Source organism: Homo sapiens, chromosome X (assembly GCF_000001405.40).
Source record: "Homo sapiens chromosome X, GRCh38.p14 Primary Assembly".
NCBI lineage: Eukaryota > Metazoa > Chordata > Mammalia > Primates > Hominidae > Homo > Homo sapiens.
The window spans coordinates 65,534,877-65,549,787 of NC_000023.11; the positions used below are offsets into that span (position 1 = coordinate 65,534,877).

Genomic DNA, 14,911 nt, shown 5'->3' on the forward strand with positions numbered 1-14,911 from the left:
GAATTGGGCGCCGACCTAATGACATGCGGGGTTAAAAACTCACCGGCCGGAAGTGTTCTTTTCACAAAGCAAACCCTCCAGGGGCAAGAGTTCAGCCTCTAGGTTCCGCCAATTTCCTGGTTGCTAACCGGCTTCTGTACCAGACCGGAAGCGGTATGTCTTCACTGCAAGAGGAATTTTATTTTGCTCCCCTCGGCGGGTGGCAGCTTGATTGTAGTCATCCAGTGAACTGAAAATGCGATTTTAAGTATATTTTTATTGCCGTGAATCAGGACCTAACCTAGTAAAACACTGGACACTGAAGCAGGGCTACAGAGGAAATATCTCATATCGAAACAGTTACAGTTGGGTTGAAAAAATCTGCTTTTGTGGCAGGTAACCAGGGGCCCTGCCTTTTAAATTAGTACCAGCCTGGCCAGGCGTGGTGGCTCACGCCTGTAATCCCAGCACATTGGGAGGCCCAGGCGGGCGGATCACTTGAGGTCAGGAGTTCCAGACCAGCCTGGCCAAAATGGTGAAACCCGGTCTCTAGTAAAAATACAAAAATTAGCTAAGCATGGTTGCACATGCCTGTAATCCCAGTTACTCAGGAGGCTGAGGCACAAGAATCGCTTGAATCCGGGAGGCGGAGGCTGCAACAAGCCAAGATCGCACCAGTGCACTCCACCCTGGGTGACAGATCGAGACTCTGTCTCAAAAGTAAATTAAATAAATACATACATAAATAAATAAATAAATACCAGCCTAGAGACCTGAGTTTTACTCTAAATTTTGCCACTAACTATGTGGACTTAGACTAGTCTCAGTTTTCCCATCTGTACAGTGAGAGTTGTAGACTGGTCTCTAGGTTCTCTGTCATAGCAGAAAATTGTAGAATTTTACTCTGCCAACATTCCACTGCTATGTTGGTTTCAACATCCACCAAGGTATACTTAGTTTTTCTGCAAAATTCCTTGGTATTTTGGAGTTCTGGGAGAAAAGCGGTATTATGAAGTTCCTCCGATTTTACGAGTTGACTGAAATATGTTTAGGACTATGTCCCAATCCTTCTTGCAGAAGTTATTTTCCAATGTAACACTTGAGAGAGAGAGAGAGAGAACTGTTGCTAACGATCTTAACAGCATTGCTGTGAGTGGCACTTTTACGCTTCACAGCAACAAATCCCAATTCATCCTCTATATGTGCTTCTTTCTCCAGCCAACTTTTCCTAAGATATAGTCTGCCTATAGTTATTTTATTTTTCTTTTTTTCTTTTTCTTTTTTTTTTTGACATGGCGTCTGGCCCAGTCGCCCAGGCTGGAGTGCAGTGGCACAATTCTCGGCTCACTGCAACCTCTACCTCCAGGGTTCAAGTGATTCTCTTGCCTCAGCCTTCCAAGTAGCTGGGATTACAGGCGCCTGCCACTATGCTTGGCTAATTTTTGTATTGTTAGTAGAGACAGGGTTTCACCATGTTGGCCAGGCTGGTCTGGAACTCCTGACCTCAAGTGATCCACCAGCCCAGGCCTCCCAAAGTGCTAGGATTACAGGCATGAGCCACCGTGCCCGGCCTGCCTATGGTTCTTGACTGACAGTTACTCTGTCCCAAGTAGCCATGCCAACCAGTTGGCCAGGTGTCTGCCTGAAACCAGATACCCTTTTTCCTTCAGGATCATGACAGTGTGCTGGCAAAGAAGTCTGGGGAGTGGTTTCTATGACTCCTCAAGATACAGGCCAGTCAGAGGAGCTGCCAGATCTGCGGCAATCATTCACACACATTTTGGGGTTTATAGGCTAAAAATTTTGCATAGTCCTTTTCAGGCAAAGACCCCTATTTATCCCCATTCCATCCACATAAAGCTGAAGTTCTCTCTATTCCGTGTGTTCTAAGAAAACATGACCAAAGCATGTAACAAGAGCATTATGTCTAATATGTGGCAAATGGGGCCTGAGACCTATTGAGAATTAGGAATTAGTGGACGAAGTGTGTCAAATAGTGGTAATTTTGAAGAAGCACTGCGTTAGTTTCCTGTTGTTGCTATAGCAAATTACCACAAACTTGGTGGTTTAAAACAACAGACATTTATTTTCTCGTAGTTCTGGAGGCCAAAAGTTTGATAACAGTATCACTGAGCTGAAATCAAGGTACTGGTAGGTTCATGATTCCTCCAGCTGCTCTAGGGAAGAATACACTCCTTGTCTTTTCTAGTGGCTGCTAGCATTCCTTGGCTTGGAGCACATTATTCCAAACTTCAAGACCAGCATCTTCAAATCTCTCTCTGCTCCATCTTCCCCTCTGTGTTTGTAAAGTCTCCCCCAGCCTCCATTTTAAAAGGATACATGTGGTGGCAGAGTCCACTCAGATAATGCAGGCTAATTTCCACATCTCAAGATCTTTAATTACAATGAAGTCCAATGTTTTTCTTTCTTTTTTCTTTTTCTTTTAACCACATAAAGTAACATTCATAGGTTGTAGGGATTAGGATGTGAGTATCTTTTGGGGGACAATTGTTTCAGCTTACCACAGGGAATATGGATCTGTCCTGGCACATGCTCAAGAATCCTAAGAATCCCTAGGCTTGTGGTGACGTAGGACACTCCTAGCAGTGCCAGTGGGCACGAATTAAATAAAATCTCCAAGTCCAAGGCATTGTCTGTGAAATCCTGAAGTTAATCAAATGTATCTTCAAGCTACTGCTTCCCCTTCATTATTTCACCATTTCCCTCCCCCTCACTTCACCCCAACGTCCACTTTTGTGTATCTAGTTCACCTAGAGCAGTCCTGTGGCCCCGGCTAAGCAAACACCTATATGTTGATGTTCTTCAAGTCTCTAGCTGAGTTTTCTGTGGGACTCCAGACACATTTAATCAACTGTCTGCTGCACTCATGTGATCCCGCAGGCAACCCAATATCAACCTGTCTAAATCTTAAATACTTTCCCCCAAAATCTGTCCCTCCTCCTATATCATTCAATACATGGCAACAGTATTCACAGAGTCATCTGAACCTCAGTACCTGCACTCAGGTAGCTTGGGCTTGAATTGTGTCTTCACCACTTACTATTTGAAACCTTGAGCAAGTTACTTAACTTTTCTATGCCTCGTTTACTTCATCTGTAAACGGAAATAATAAGAGCACTTATTAATAGTGCTCGCATAATAGTCTCAAAGGACTGGTATGTGGATTAAAAGAGGTGAGCATTGGCCAGGTGTGGTGGCTCTCACCTATAATCCCAGCACTTTGGGAGGCCGAGGAGGGTGGATCACTTGAGGCCAGGAGTTCAAGACCAGTCTGGCCAACATGGCGAAACCCTGTCTCTACTAAAAAAAATCACAAAAATTAGCCAGGTGTGGTGATGCGCCTGTAATCCCAGCTATTCTGAGGCATGAAAATGGCTTGAACCCTGGAGGCAGAGGTTGCAGTGAAGTCCTTCTGATTTTACAGGTTGGCTAAAATGTGTTTAGGACTATGTAGCCAAGATCGTGCCACTGTACTCCAGCTTGGGCGAAAGAGGGATACTCTGTCTCAGAAAGGAAAGAAGAGGGGGTGGGGGAGGGAGGAGGGACTTCTTAGAAGAGTGCATGACACACTGTAAGCACTTACAGCTGTTAAGCTATATATATACATATATATATATATATATATATATATATATATATATATATATATATTTTTTTTTTTTTTTTTCGTTTGGCAGAGTCTCGCTCTGTCGCCCAGGCTGGAGTGCAGTGGCATGATCTCAGCTCACCACAACCTCCACCTCCCAGGTTCAAGCGATTCTCCTGCCTCAGCCTCTCAAGTAGCTGGGACTATAGACATGCCACCACGCCTGGCTAATTTTTGTATTTTTAGTAGAGACAGTGTTTCACCATGTTGGCCAGGCTGGTCTCGAACTCCTGACTCAGGTGATCCAACCACCTCAGCCTCCCAAAGTGTTGGGATTACAGGTGTGAGCCACATGCCCAGCCTAGCCTATATTGTTAATCGTATTGTCAAAGGCATGTGAACCAGAGCAACTCCATCCTGAATAGGGGCTGGGTAAAATAAGGCTGAGACTTACTGGGCCACATTCCCAGATGGTTAAGGCATTCTAAGTCACAGGATGAGATTAGGAGGTCAGCACAGAAGACAGGTCATAAAGAACTTGCTGATAAAACAGGTTGCAGTAAAGAAGCCGGGCTAAAACCCACCAAAACCAAGACGGCCACAAGAGTGACTTCTGGTCTTCCTCACTGCTGCACTCCCACCAGCGCCATGACAGTTTACAAATGCCATGGCAAAGTCAGGAAGTTACCCTATATGGTCTAGAAAGGGGAAGCATGAATAATCCACCCCTTGTTTAGCATATCATCAAGAAATAATCAGGCTGGGTGCAGTGGCTCACACCTGTAATCCTAGCACTTTGGGAGGCCAAGGCGGGTGGATTGCCTGAGCTTAGGAATTCGAGACCAGCCTGTGAAACATGGTGAAACACTGTCTCTACTAAAATACAAAAACAAACAAACAAACAAACAAACAAGAAAAAAACAATTAGCCAGGCGTGGCAGCATGCGCCTGTGGTCCCAGCTACTTGGTAGGCTGAGGCAGCAGAATTACTTGAACCCAGGAGGTGGGGGTTGCAGTGAGCCGAGATCAAGCCACTGCACTCCAGCCTGGGTGACAGAGTGAGACACCGTCTCTAAAAAAAAAAAAAAAAAAGAAAAGAAATACCCATAAAAAAATGGGCAACCAGCAGCCCTCAGGGCTGCTCTGTCTCTGGAGTAGCCATTGTCTTATTCTTTTACTTTCTTCTTTTTTTTCTGTTTCTTTCTTTTTTTTTTTTTTTTTTTTTTTGAAACAGAGTCTCCTGTGTCACCCAGGCTGGAGTGCAGTGGTGTGATCTCTGCTTACTGCAAGCTCCACCTCCTGGATTCCAGCGATTCTCCTGCATCAGCCTCCCGAGTAGCTGGGACTACAGGCGCCCGCCACCATGCCTGGCTAATTCTTGTATTTTTAGTAGAGACAGGGTTTCACCATATTGGCCAGGATGGTCTCGATCTCCTGACCTCATGATCCACCCACCTTGGCCTCCTAAAGTGCTGGGATTACAGGCGTGAGCCACCGCGCCCGGCCTTCCTTTACTTTCTTAATAAACTTGCTTTCACTTTACTCTATGGACTCGCCCTGAATTCTTTCTTGCACGAGATCCAGAAACCCTCCCTTGGGGTCTGGATCTGGACCCCTTTCCTGTAACATCTTTCTGGCAAACCCCAAAGGGACTATGGTGAGGAAACCCCCTACCCAAAAGCTAACTTTGGGTAAGTGGTGGGGTCCTGTAACAGTATTATCATTCTCCACTACTTCACCTCCTCACTCACTTCCACTGTTCCATCTTCTCCCGCACCCTTGGTGCCACCCTCCCCCAAAACTACATAATCTACCCACTATCTTTTTAATCAGTCCTCTTCTTTACATTCTCATGGCCACTGTTCTAATTCAGGCCTTGGTTTTCTCTGGATCACTGTACTGTCTTCCTAACTGGTCTCTCTGTTTCCATCCCTTACATAGAAGAGAAGGGGTCTTATAAACTGGAAACTTATCTTGTTGGAATAATAAATCCCTAGACTCTTTTCCTGAAATAGTAGGCTTTAAATAGCTTTTCAAAGTTTTGTTTTTTGGCCTGGCATGGTGGCTCACGCCTGTAATCCCAGCACTTTGAGTGGCCGAGGCGGGTGGATCACTTGAGGTCAGGAGTTCAAGACCAGCCTGGACAACATGGTGAAACCCTGTCTCTACTAAAAATACAAAAATTAGCCAAGCATGGTGGCGCGAGCCTGTAATCCCAGCTACTTGGGAGGCTGAGGCACAAGGATTGCTTGAACCTGGGAGGCGGAGGTTGCAGTGAACTGAGATCACACCACTGCACTCCACCACAGGCAGCAGAGCAAGACTCTGTCTTAAAAAAAAAAAAAAGTTTTTTTTTTTGTTGTTGTTTTGTATTCTTTTGTTTTTTGAGACAGGATCTCGCTCTGTGACCCAGGCTGGTGTGCAGTAAGGCCACCATAGCTCACTACAACCTCAACTTCCTGGGCTTTAGAGATGTTTCCACTACAGCCTCCCAAACAGCTAGGACTGGACCCCCACCTACCAGCTGGGTATGCATGCCACCACACCCAGCTAATTTTTTATTTAGTTTTTTGTAGAGATAGGGTCTCACCCTGTTGCCCAGGCTGGTCTCAAATTCCTGGCCACAAACCTAGGCCTCCCAAATTACTGGAATTACAGGTGTAAGTTACTGAGCTCAGCCTTTGTTTTTTTGTTTGTTTTGAGACAGGGTCTTACTCTGTCACCCAGGCTACAGTATAGTGGTGCTAAAAGCGCCTTTGCAAAAAAATTATAGCAGTAACAAAATTATGACAGTGAAAGTAAAAGAGGTCTGAACTAACCCACTCCATCTTGCCTTTAACCTACAAACTGTCGGTGGTCATTCCTGGGTGTGGGCCAAGCTAACTATGGGAGAAATTTACTTTATGGTTTAAATTATAATAGCCCTTCTCAAAACTAAACTACCTTTGTAAAACTAATGAAAGACCTCCAAGTTAGGAGGATGAAAGGACCCTGAATTCCGCTAAGATGTAGGTATAATTAAATGATTACCAGCCATTATTCCGGAGGTCACAAGATTTGCAACTTCCCCAATTACTCCTGTAAATAACATCACTATTGTGGAACCTAAGATTGGCCTTTTGAGGTGTCTTTTCAGGCTTTTGCATTTATTTTATTTTATTTTATTTTATTTCATTTTATTTTATTTTATTTTATTTTATTGTTTTTGAGACAGGATCTCATTCTGTCACCCAGGCTGGAGTGCAGTGGTGCCATCTCAGCTCACTGCAACCTCTGCTTCCTGGGCTCAAGTGATCCTCCCCGCTCAGCCTCCAGAGTAGCTAGGACCACAGGCATGCAGCACCACACCAGACTACCTTTTTGTGTTTGGGTAGAGATGGGGTTTCACCATGTTGCCTAGGCTGGTCTCAAACTCCTGAGCTCAAACAATTTCCTGGCTTTGGCCTCACAAAGTGCTGGGATTACAGGCTTGAGCCACCGTGCCCAACTGGCTTTTGCATTTCTGACTGTTGCATGGCCCCAGTCAGACCAGCAATTCCCCTGTGATCCCCCAACCAGAAGTGGACTCCACATGCAAGGACCATTTTCCACACTCCTATGATTGCATCTCCAACCAATCAGCAGGATCCTTACCCTAGCCCTCTGCCTATCAAACTCTCCTTTTGAAAACCTTAGCCTTCTAATTTTGAGGGAGGCTGACTTGAGTGATAATAAAACTCAGGTCTTCCGTTTAGCTAGCTCTACGTGTATTGAATTCTTTCTCTGTTGCAATTCTCCTATCTTGATAAAATGGCTCTATCTGGGCAGCAGGCAAGTAGAACCCATTGGGCACTTACAGTGTGACCATAGCTTGCTGTAGCCTTGAACTCTTGGTCTCAAGTGATCCGCCAACTCGGCCTCCCAAAATGCTGGAATTATAGGCGTGAGCCACCTTGTCCGGCCAAGCCACCTCCCATTCTGTTCAAAGTCATCCCTCTGCTCACTGAGATAAATGCATATCTGATTGCCTCCTTTGGAAAGACTAATTAGAAACTCAAAAGAATGTAACCATTTGTCTCTTACCTACCTATTACCTGGAAGCCCCCTCCCTGCTTCGAGTTGTCCCACCTTTCTGGACCGAACCATTATTCATCTTACATGTATTGATTGATGTCTCATGTCTCCCTAAAATGTATAAAACCAACCTGTGTCCCAATCACCTTAGGCACATGTCGTCAGGACCTTCAGAGGCTGTTTCACTGGTGCACATGTCCTTAACCTTGGCAAAATAAACTTTCTAAATTGACTGGGACCTGTCTCAGCTATTCAGGGTTCACAGGTTTTACAATAGTGATGTTATTGCTTCCCAGGAGCAATTTGAGGAGGGTCAGAATCTTGTAGCCTCTAGCTCCATGACTCCTAAACCATAATTTCTTTTCTTTCTTTTCTTTCTTTCTTTCTTTCTTTCTTTCTTTCTTTCTTTCTTTCTTTCTTTCTTTCTTTCTTTTTTTAGACAGAGACTTGCTGTGTCGCCCAGGCTGGAGAGCAGTGGCAGGATCTCGGCTCTCTGCAACCTCTGCCTCCCGGATTCAAGCGATTCTCATGCCTCAGCCTCCTGAGTAGCTGGATTACAGGCACATGCCACCATGCCCAGCTAATTTTTTGTATTTTTAGTAGAGATGGGGCTTCACCATGTTGGTCAGGCTGTTCTCTAACTCCTGATTCAAGTCATCCACCTGCCTTGGCCTCCCAAAGTACTGGAATTACAGACATGAGCCACCGCACCCGGCCCTAAACCATAATTTCTAATCTTGTGGCTAATTTATTAGTCCTACGAAAACAGTCTAGTCCCCAGGCAGGAAGGGGATTTGTTTTGGGAAAGGGTAGTTATCATCTTTGTTCCAAAGTTAAACTGTAAACCAAGTTCCTCCCAAAGTTAGTTCGGCCTATGCCCAGGAATGAACAAGGACAGTTTGGAGGTTAGAAGCAAGATGGAGTTGGTTAGGTCAGATCTCTTTCACTGTAACAATTTTCTGTTATAATTTTGCAACAGTGGTTTCAATATGGGGTTCACTATGTTGCCCAGGCTAGCCATGAACTCCTGGACTCAAGCGATCCTCCTGCCTTGACCTCCCGAAGTGCTGGGTTTATAGGTATGAGCCAGCATGCCAGGCCAACTCCAGCTCAATTAATGATACAAGAAGCATCATGGTATTGGAAAAGGAGCTATCATTTATTACTTCTCTACTACAGACTGGATGCTTTACATAACACTTTCTTCCTTATTTATATCTTCTTATCTTTCTCGTGTGTGTATGGGTGTGTGTGTTTTGTCTGCTTGTTTGTTTTTTGAGACAGAGTCTCGCTCTGTTACCCAGGCTGGAGTGCAGTGGCACAATCTTGGCTCACTGCAACCTCTGCCTCCTGAGTTCAAGCAACTCTCCTGCCTCAGCCTCCCTAGTAGCTGGGATTACAAGCATGTGCCACCACACCCGGCTAATTTTTCTGTTTGTTTTTGACATGGAGTTTTGCTCTTGTTGCCTAGGGTGGAGTGCAATCGTGCAATCTCGACTCACTGCAACCTCTGCCTCCAAGGTTCAAGTGATGCTCCTGCCTCAGCCTCCTGAGTAGCTGGGATTACAGGCTCCTGCCACCTCACCCAGCTAATATTTTTTTTTTTTTGTATTTTTTAGTAGATACAGGGTTTCACCATGCTGGCCAGGCTGGTCTCGAACTCCCGACCTCAGGTGATCCGCCTGCCTTGGCCTCCCAAAGTGCTGGGATTATAGGGGTGAGCCACCACGCCCAGCCTTGAAGCTCCTTTGTGAAGCCTGTAGACCAAGTTTTATTGTTTCCATTTTCTAGATAAGAAAACAGAGGCTCAAGAAAGTAATGTGATTTTCCCAAGGTCATACTGTAAGTGACAAAGCAGAGACTGAGACCCAGATTTCCAACCCAAGTTCTCTTTTTATTATGCTGTACTAGAAGCAATGGGGTGAATTTATTTATATCCCGTGTGATCCTGTGGACATGTGAATTTGTATCTGTAGGTGCTTTACTGGGAACTCCTGGAAAACAGGGGTTATGAGCTGATTGATTTCCACAATTCTTACAGCAGGATCCTCCATATTAGGAAGCAAATGTACATAGAAAGTAAGGGAGGAAAGAAGACAGAGAAAATAATGGAAGGCTGGCAAGAAGAAAAATAAAGTAGAAGAACAAAATGAAAGGTAAGAAAAAAGAGAAAAAAGTAAAGGGACAGAAAGAAATAATATACATTGCTACATGTGTTGATTAAAGAAAAGAAATAATTCTCTGTGATTTGAAAGGTCTTTCAGAAGCAACAGATATATTGGCAAGAACATGAAGTTAGAACTCAGGGAACCGTGGGTGCAGAATCTACCTCCTACTTAAATGCTCTATTACTTTGGCTGAAATTACGTCCCCTTCTAAGTCTGTTTCCTCAACCTGCAAAATGTGGTTAATACATGCTAACTTTTAGGGTGATTTGTGAGGAAAGCTTGAAAAAAGGAAAGGTGTTTATGGCATCTGACAGGAACTCAATAACAGCATTCCACACCTATGGTTACTCCCACTGAGAGCCTAGAGCCTCAGCCATTCCAGGACTGTTTAATCTTCTTTCCCTTCCAGGTTCTCTATGGGCAGACGGCGAAGGTCTTGGATCAGGTGCTCCAAAGCTTCCTCCCTGAGAACCCTGACTCCAGCGAGGTATAGGTACAGGCCTTCAAGACCCAGAAGGAGTCACAGTCAGCCTCTCAGAGGATGCTGGCTGCCTGGGGAAGGTGGTAGGAGGAGGAAGAGGTGGTGTGTTGAAGTGGTTAAAATCAGGTTTGAATTCAAAACAAATAACAACAAAAAACCTTGTGAATAATCCACTGTTTACTAGCATGTGGATAATTGAGAGTTGACCATGTCCTCTGAGCCTGCCTCAAGCCTTTCATTATTTGGGTTATATGTCCCTTGGGCCTTTGCTAGTTGACCCCTGGCTTCAACTACTGTGGTATACCAGTTAGGGCAGAGGTGATTACATAGGCCTGAGCTGGGAGGCTCTGAGCCTTAATTTTCCTGATTCTCCTTCCCCTCACATTTAGCAACTGATATCCTAGATGAGTTCTGCACTCCCCTATAAGCTCAAGCCAGGGCTGGACTGGTGCCCTTTTTCTCAAGTTTGTCATGGAGCACTTTGGCCATGATGTGAATCTGGCTAATCTTTGGCCTTTTTCTAATCTTCATCCCTCTTACCACATCCTGGCCTCTTTCCCGGCCTCCTGAATAAGTCTATATTTGCACCTCAGGATTATATCTGTCTTTTTGTTTTTCTCAAACTCTTCTCAGCCTTTCTGCTTCTCTTGGAATATCCTCCACTTTCCTTTACTGCCTCCTTCTCTTCAACTTGCTGAGTTTGATTAGGATGGAGGTGCCTTACATGGTCTGGTTCATGATCCTTTGCAAAGTGCCTTCTGCCTTCTGTCTGACAGTTTTCAGGGAAGGTAACTAGTGCCAAATACCAAACTAATCCCAGAAGCAAGTTTGCTTTTCCTCTTTCTTTCCTCTTCTATCCCTCTTCTTTCCATCCTTTCAAACTGAGCCACTTCTACTTGCCAGGTTTTGTGTTGGGAACTAAGAAAACAAAGAAATCAGATGGAATCCCTGCCCTCAATGAGATAAGCACCTCCCCAACCTAGGTCTTTGCCTCTTACTAACAATGAATTCTTTGGCAATTTGTTTAGCATTTCTGGGCTTTGCTCCTTAAATAAGTAGAAATCGGGGCTGAATATGAGTACTGTAAGAGAAGCCAGAGGGAATGCAAAAGAGGGAGTGATCGGTTCCATCTCTGAACAACAGTGAAGGCGCCCTAGTTCATTTCTGCTTCTATAACAAAATACCGCAGGCCAAGATAATTTATAAACAACATACATTTATTTTTCATAGTTCTAGAGGCTAAGAAGTTCAAGATCAAGGCACTGGCAGATTCAGTGTCTGGTGAGGACTGCTGTCTGCATCTGAGATGGCTCCTTCTTGCTTCATCCTCACATGGTAGAAGAGCAAAAGGGATGAACACAGTGTTCTCACATGGCAGATGAGATAAAAGTGCCAGGCAGCTATCTGAAGCCTATTTTATAAGGACATTAATCTCATTCACAAGGGCAGAGCCCTCATGACTTAATCATTTCTCAAAAGTTCCCACCTTTTAATACCATCACCTTGGGGTTTAAGGTCCAACATATAAGTTGTTTGTTTGGTTTTGTTTGAGACTGAGTCTTCCTCTGTCACCCAGGCTGGAGTGCAGTGGCATGATAACAGCTGACTGCAGCCTCGACCACCTGGGGTCAAGTGATCCTCCCACCTCAGCCTCCTGAGTAGCTGGGACCACAGGTGTACACTCTCATGCCTGGCTAATTTTTTAAAAATATTTTTAGAGATGGGGTCTTCCTATGTTGCCCAGGCTGGTCTCTAGCTCCCAGGCTCAAGTGATCCTCCTGTCTTGGCCTCCCAAAGCGCTGGGATTACAGGTGTGAGCCACTGTGCCCAGCTAGATTATTTTCCATGTATGTTCAAATATCCATATGTGTATATGTGAGCATGTAAGTGTATGTAAACAAAGGAAATGCATGTGAAAATATGGGAGCTTGTAGTGGAGTTGTATGTGAGTATATGGAATATATGTGAATGGCGGGAGGTTATGGTGTCTGGGAGAATATATATATGAATAAATGCATTTGTATCAGAGTGTAGGGCATAAGACTATGGTGGAATATATATGAAAGTGTGGGCAAGATGTGTCTATGGGAGCTCATGTAAGGTTTGCAAGTACCTGTATGTGAGTGAAAGTGTATGTCAGAGTTTGAGGTGAGTGTGTATGGTATGGGGAGGGGAGGGCTTGCATTGTTTCATGTGAGTGTGTGGGTATGGAGAATAAATTAGTGGGTTAATTGGGCAACCCTAGTTCTACTCCTTAGTTTACATCATTCAGTGAAGGCTTTCCAGTGAATTGCTTTCAGCAGCAGTTTCTGGGATTTGGGCACTCTAGGGTTAGGAAACTTGTTATTTTTTCCCTTTCAGGCCCTTTGTTGAGGTATACCCTCATTTAGCTCCACACACATTTTGTGAGCACTTACCGTGCACAAGGCGCTACTCTTAGATCTTTCCTGGCAGATAAGAATACTCTCTGAGGAGTCATGTCTCTCAATATTATCCTAAATCCTTTCCCTCACTGGATTCTCATAAGAGCTGGCTCCCTTCATTGTATAAATGGAGAAAGCAAGACCTGCTCAGAGCATGGGCTTGCAGGCAAATAGACCTGGGATGAATTTCTCTCTCTGTTATTACCTAGTTGTGTTAGTTTGTAAAGGCTGCCATAACAAAATGCTACAGAATTGGTGCCTAAAATAACAGAAATTTATTTCCTCACAGTTGTGAAGGTTGGAAGTCCAAGATCAAGGTGTTAGCAGGGTTGGTTTCTTTTGAGGCCTCTTTCCTTAGCTTGCCAAGGGCTACTTTCTTGCTGTGTCTTCTACATGGTCTTTCCTCTGTGTTAATGCATCCCTGGTGTGTCTGTCTGTCTTTTCCAATATTCTCTTTTTTTTTTCTTTTGATGGAGTCTCGCTCTGTCACCAGGCTGGAGTGCAGTGGTGCGATCTCGGCTCACTGCAACCTCCACCTCCCGGGTTCAAGCAATTCTCCCTGCCTCAGCCTCCCAAGTAGCTGGGACTACAGGCATGCACCATCACGCCCAGCTAATTTTTCTATTTTTAGTAGAGACAGGGTTTCACCATGTTGGCCAGGATGGTCTTGATCTCTTGACCTCATGATCCACCCACCTCGGCCTCCCAAAGTGCTGAGATTACAGGCATGAGCCACTGCACCCGGCTTAATATTCTTTTCTTTCTTTCTTTTTCTTTTTTTTTTTTGAGATGGAGTCTTGCTCTGTCGCCCAGGCTGGAGTGCAGTGGCACCATCTTGGCTCACTGCAAGCTTTGACTCCCGGGTTCACGCCATTGTCCTGCCTCAGCCTCCCGAGTAGCTGGGACTACAGGCGCCCGCCACCACACCCGGCTAATTTTTTCTATTTTTTAGTAGAGATGGTGTTTCACCGTGTTAGCCAGGATGGTCTCGATCTCCTGACCTCGTGATCTGCCTGCCTCGGCCTCCCAAAGTGCTGGGATTACAGGTGTGAGCCACGGCACTCAGCCTATATTCTTTTCTTAAAAGGATGTCAGTCAGATTGGATTAGGGCCCACCCTAACAGCTTCAGTTTTTTTTTTTTGTTGTTGTTAGAAACTGACTTTATTAATAAGTCACATGATACAAAAGAATGAGAACATTCAAAGAATGAGTAAAATACTGCTTTGTCCCACAGGACAAGCAGAAAATGTTAAGGCACAATGGATGCTCAGAAAACGTAAGAAGCTGAAGGGAAACACATCATCTGTGTATTCAGACACACACACTCCAACCCATCACACGGACACACCCTCACCCACCCATCAGAGAAGAATTCACCTGGAATCAGCTGGGGGTGGTGGCTCACGACTATAATCCCAGCACTTTGGGAGGTTGAGGCGGGTGGATCATGAGGTCAGGAGTTCAAGACCAGCCTGACCAACATGGTGAAACCCTGTCTCTACTAAAAATACAAAAATTAGTGGGGCGTGGTGGCACGCACCTGTAATCCTAGCTACTCAGGAGGCTGAGGCAGGAGAATCGCTTGAGGCAGAGGTTGCAGTGAGCCGAGATGCGCCACTGCACTCCTGCCTGGGCAACAGAGCAAGACTCTATCTCAAAAAACATAAAAAAATAAAAAAAATAAAATCACCTGGAATCAAAGCAGCAGGGACAACCTGCGCTGGAGCGGCCAGAACAGGCCAGCGGGCAGCTCGGTGAGACAGAGCAACTCCAGGACGGGAGACAAGAACTGGCAGCTGACATGACCCTGTGGCCAGGACATTCCAAAAGAGGCCTCTTCTTTCTGCCTATTATTTTAACAAATAAAGTCCATGCTGCCAGAAGGCAAGCCCACCTCAAAACTCCTGGCACATTCACAAGCTACCAAAGGGAGGAGGGTGAACAGGCTCTGATACTTGGAGTAGAGGCCTGAGCTTCCTCTCCCACGGTTTTCCACTGGGAACGGAAGACAAAACCAAGCCCTGTGCTGCCACAGGAAGTCCCAGGAAGCACCTGTGAGACCTGCACACCCACCTCAGAGGGTCCCAGGGCTGGGAAAGCCCTCCTCTCAGGGGCTCAGCTCATCTGCGACAAGACAGAGCCCCTGCTCCCTGGAGGGCAAGCTGGGACCAGAGAAGCCAAGCACCCACATCAGTCACC

The 14,911-nt window shown here is 45.2% G+C and overlaps 1 annotated feature.

The window, feature by feature from the left end:
- Window positions 6–185: an enhancer, noted in NCBI's record as "active region_29713". NCBI's record gives its function as "activates an Ori minimal core promoter by ATAC-STARR-seq in GM12878 lymphoblastoid cells {active_cell/tissue: GM12878}" and the evidence as "EXISTENCE:reporter gene assay evidence [ECO:0000049][PMID:35858748]".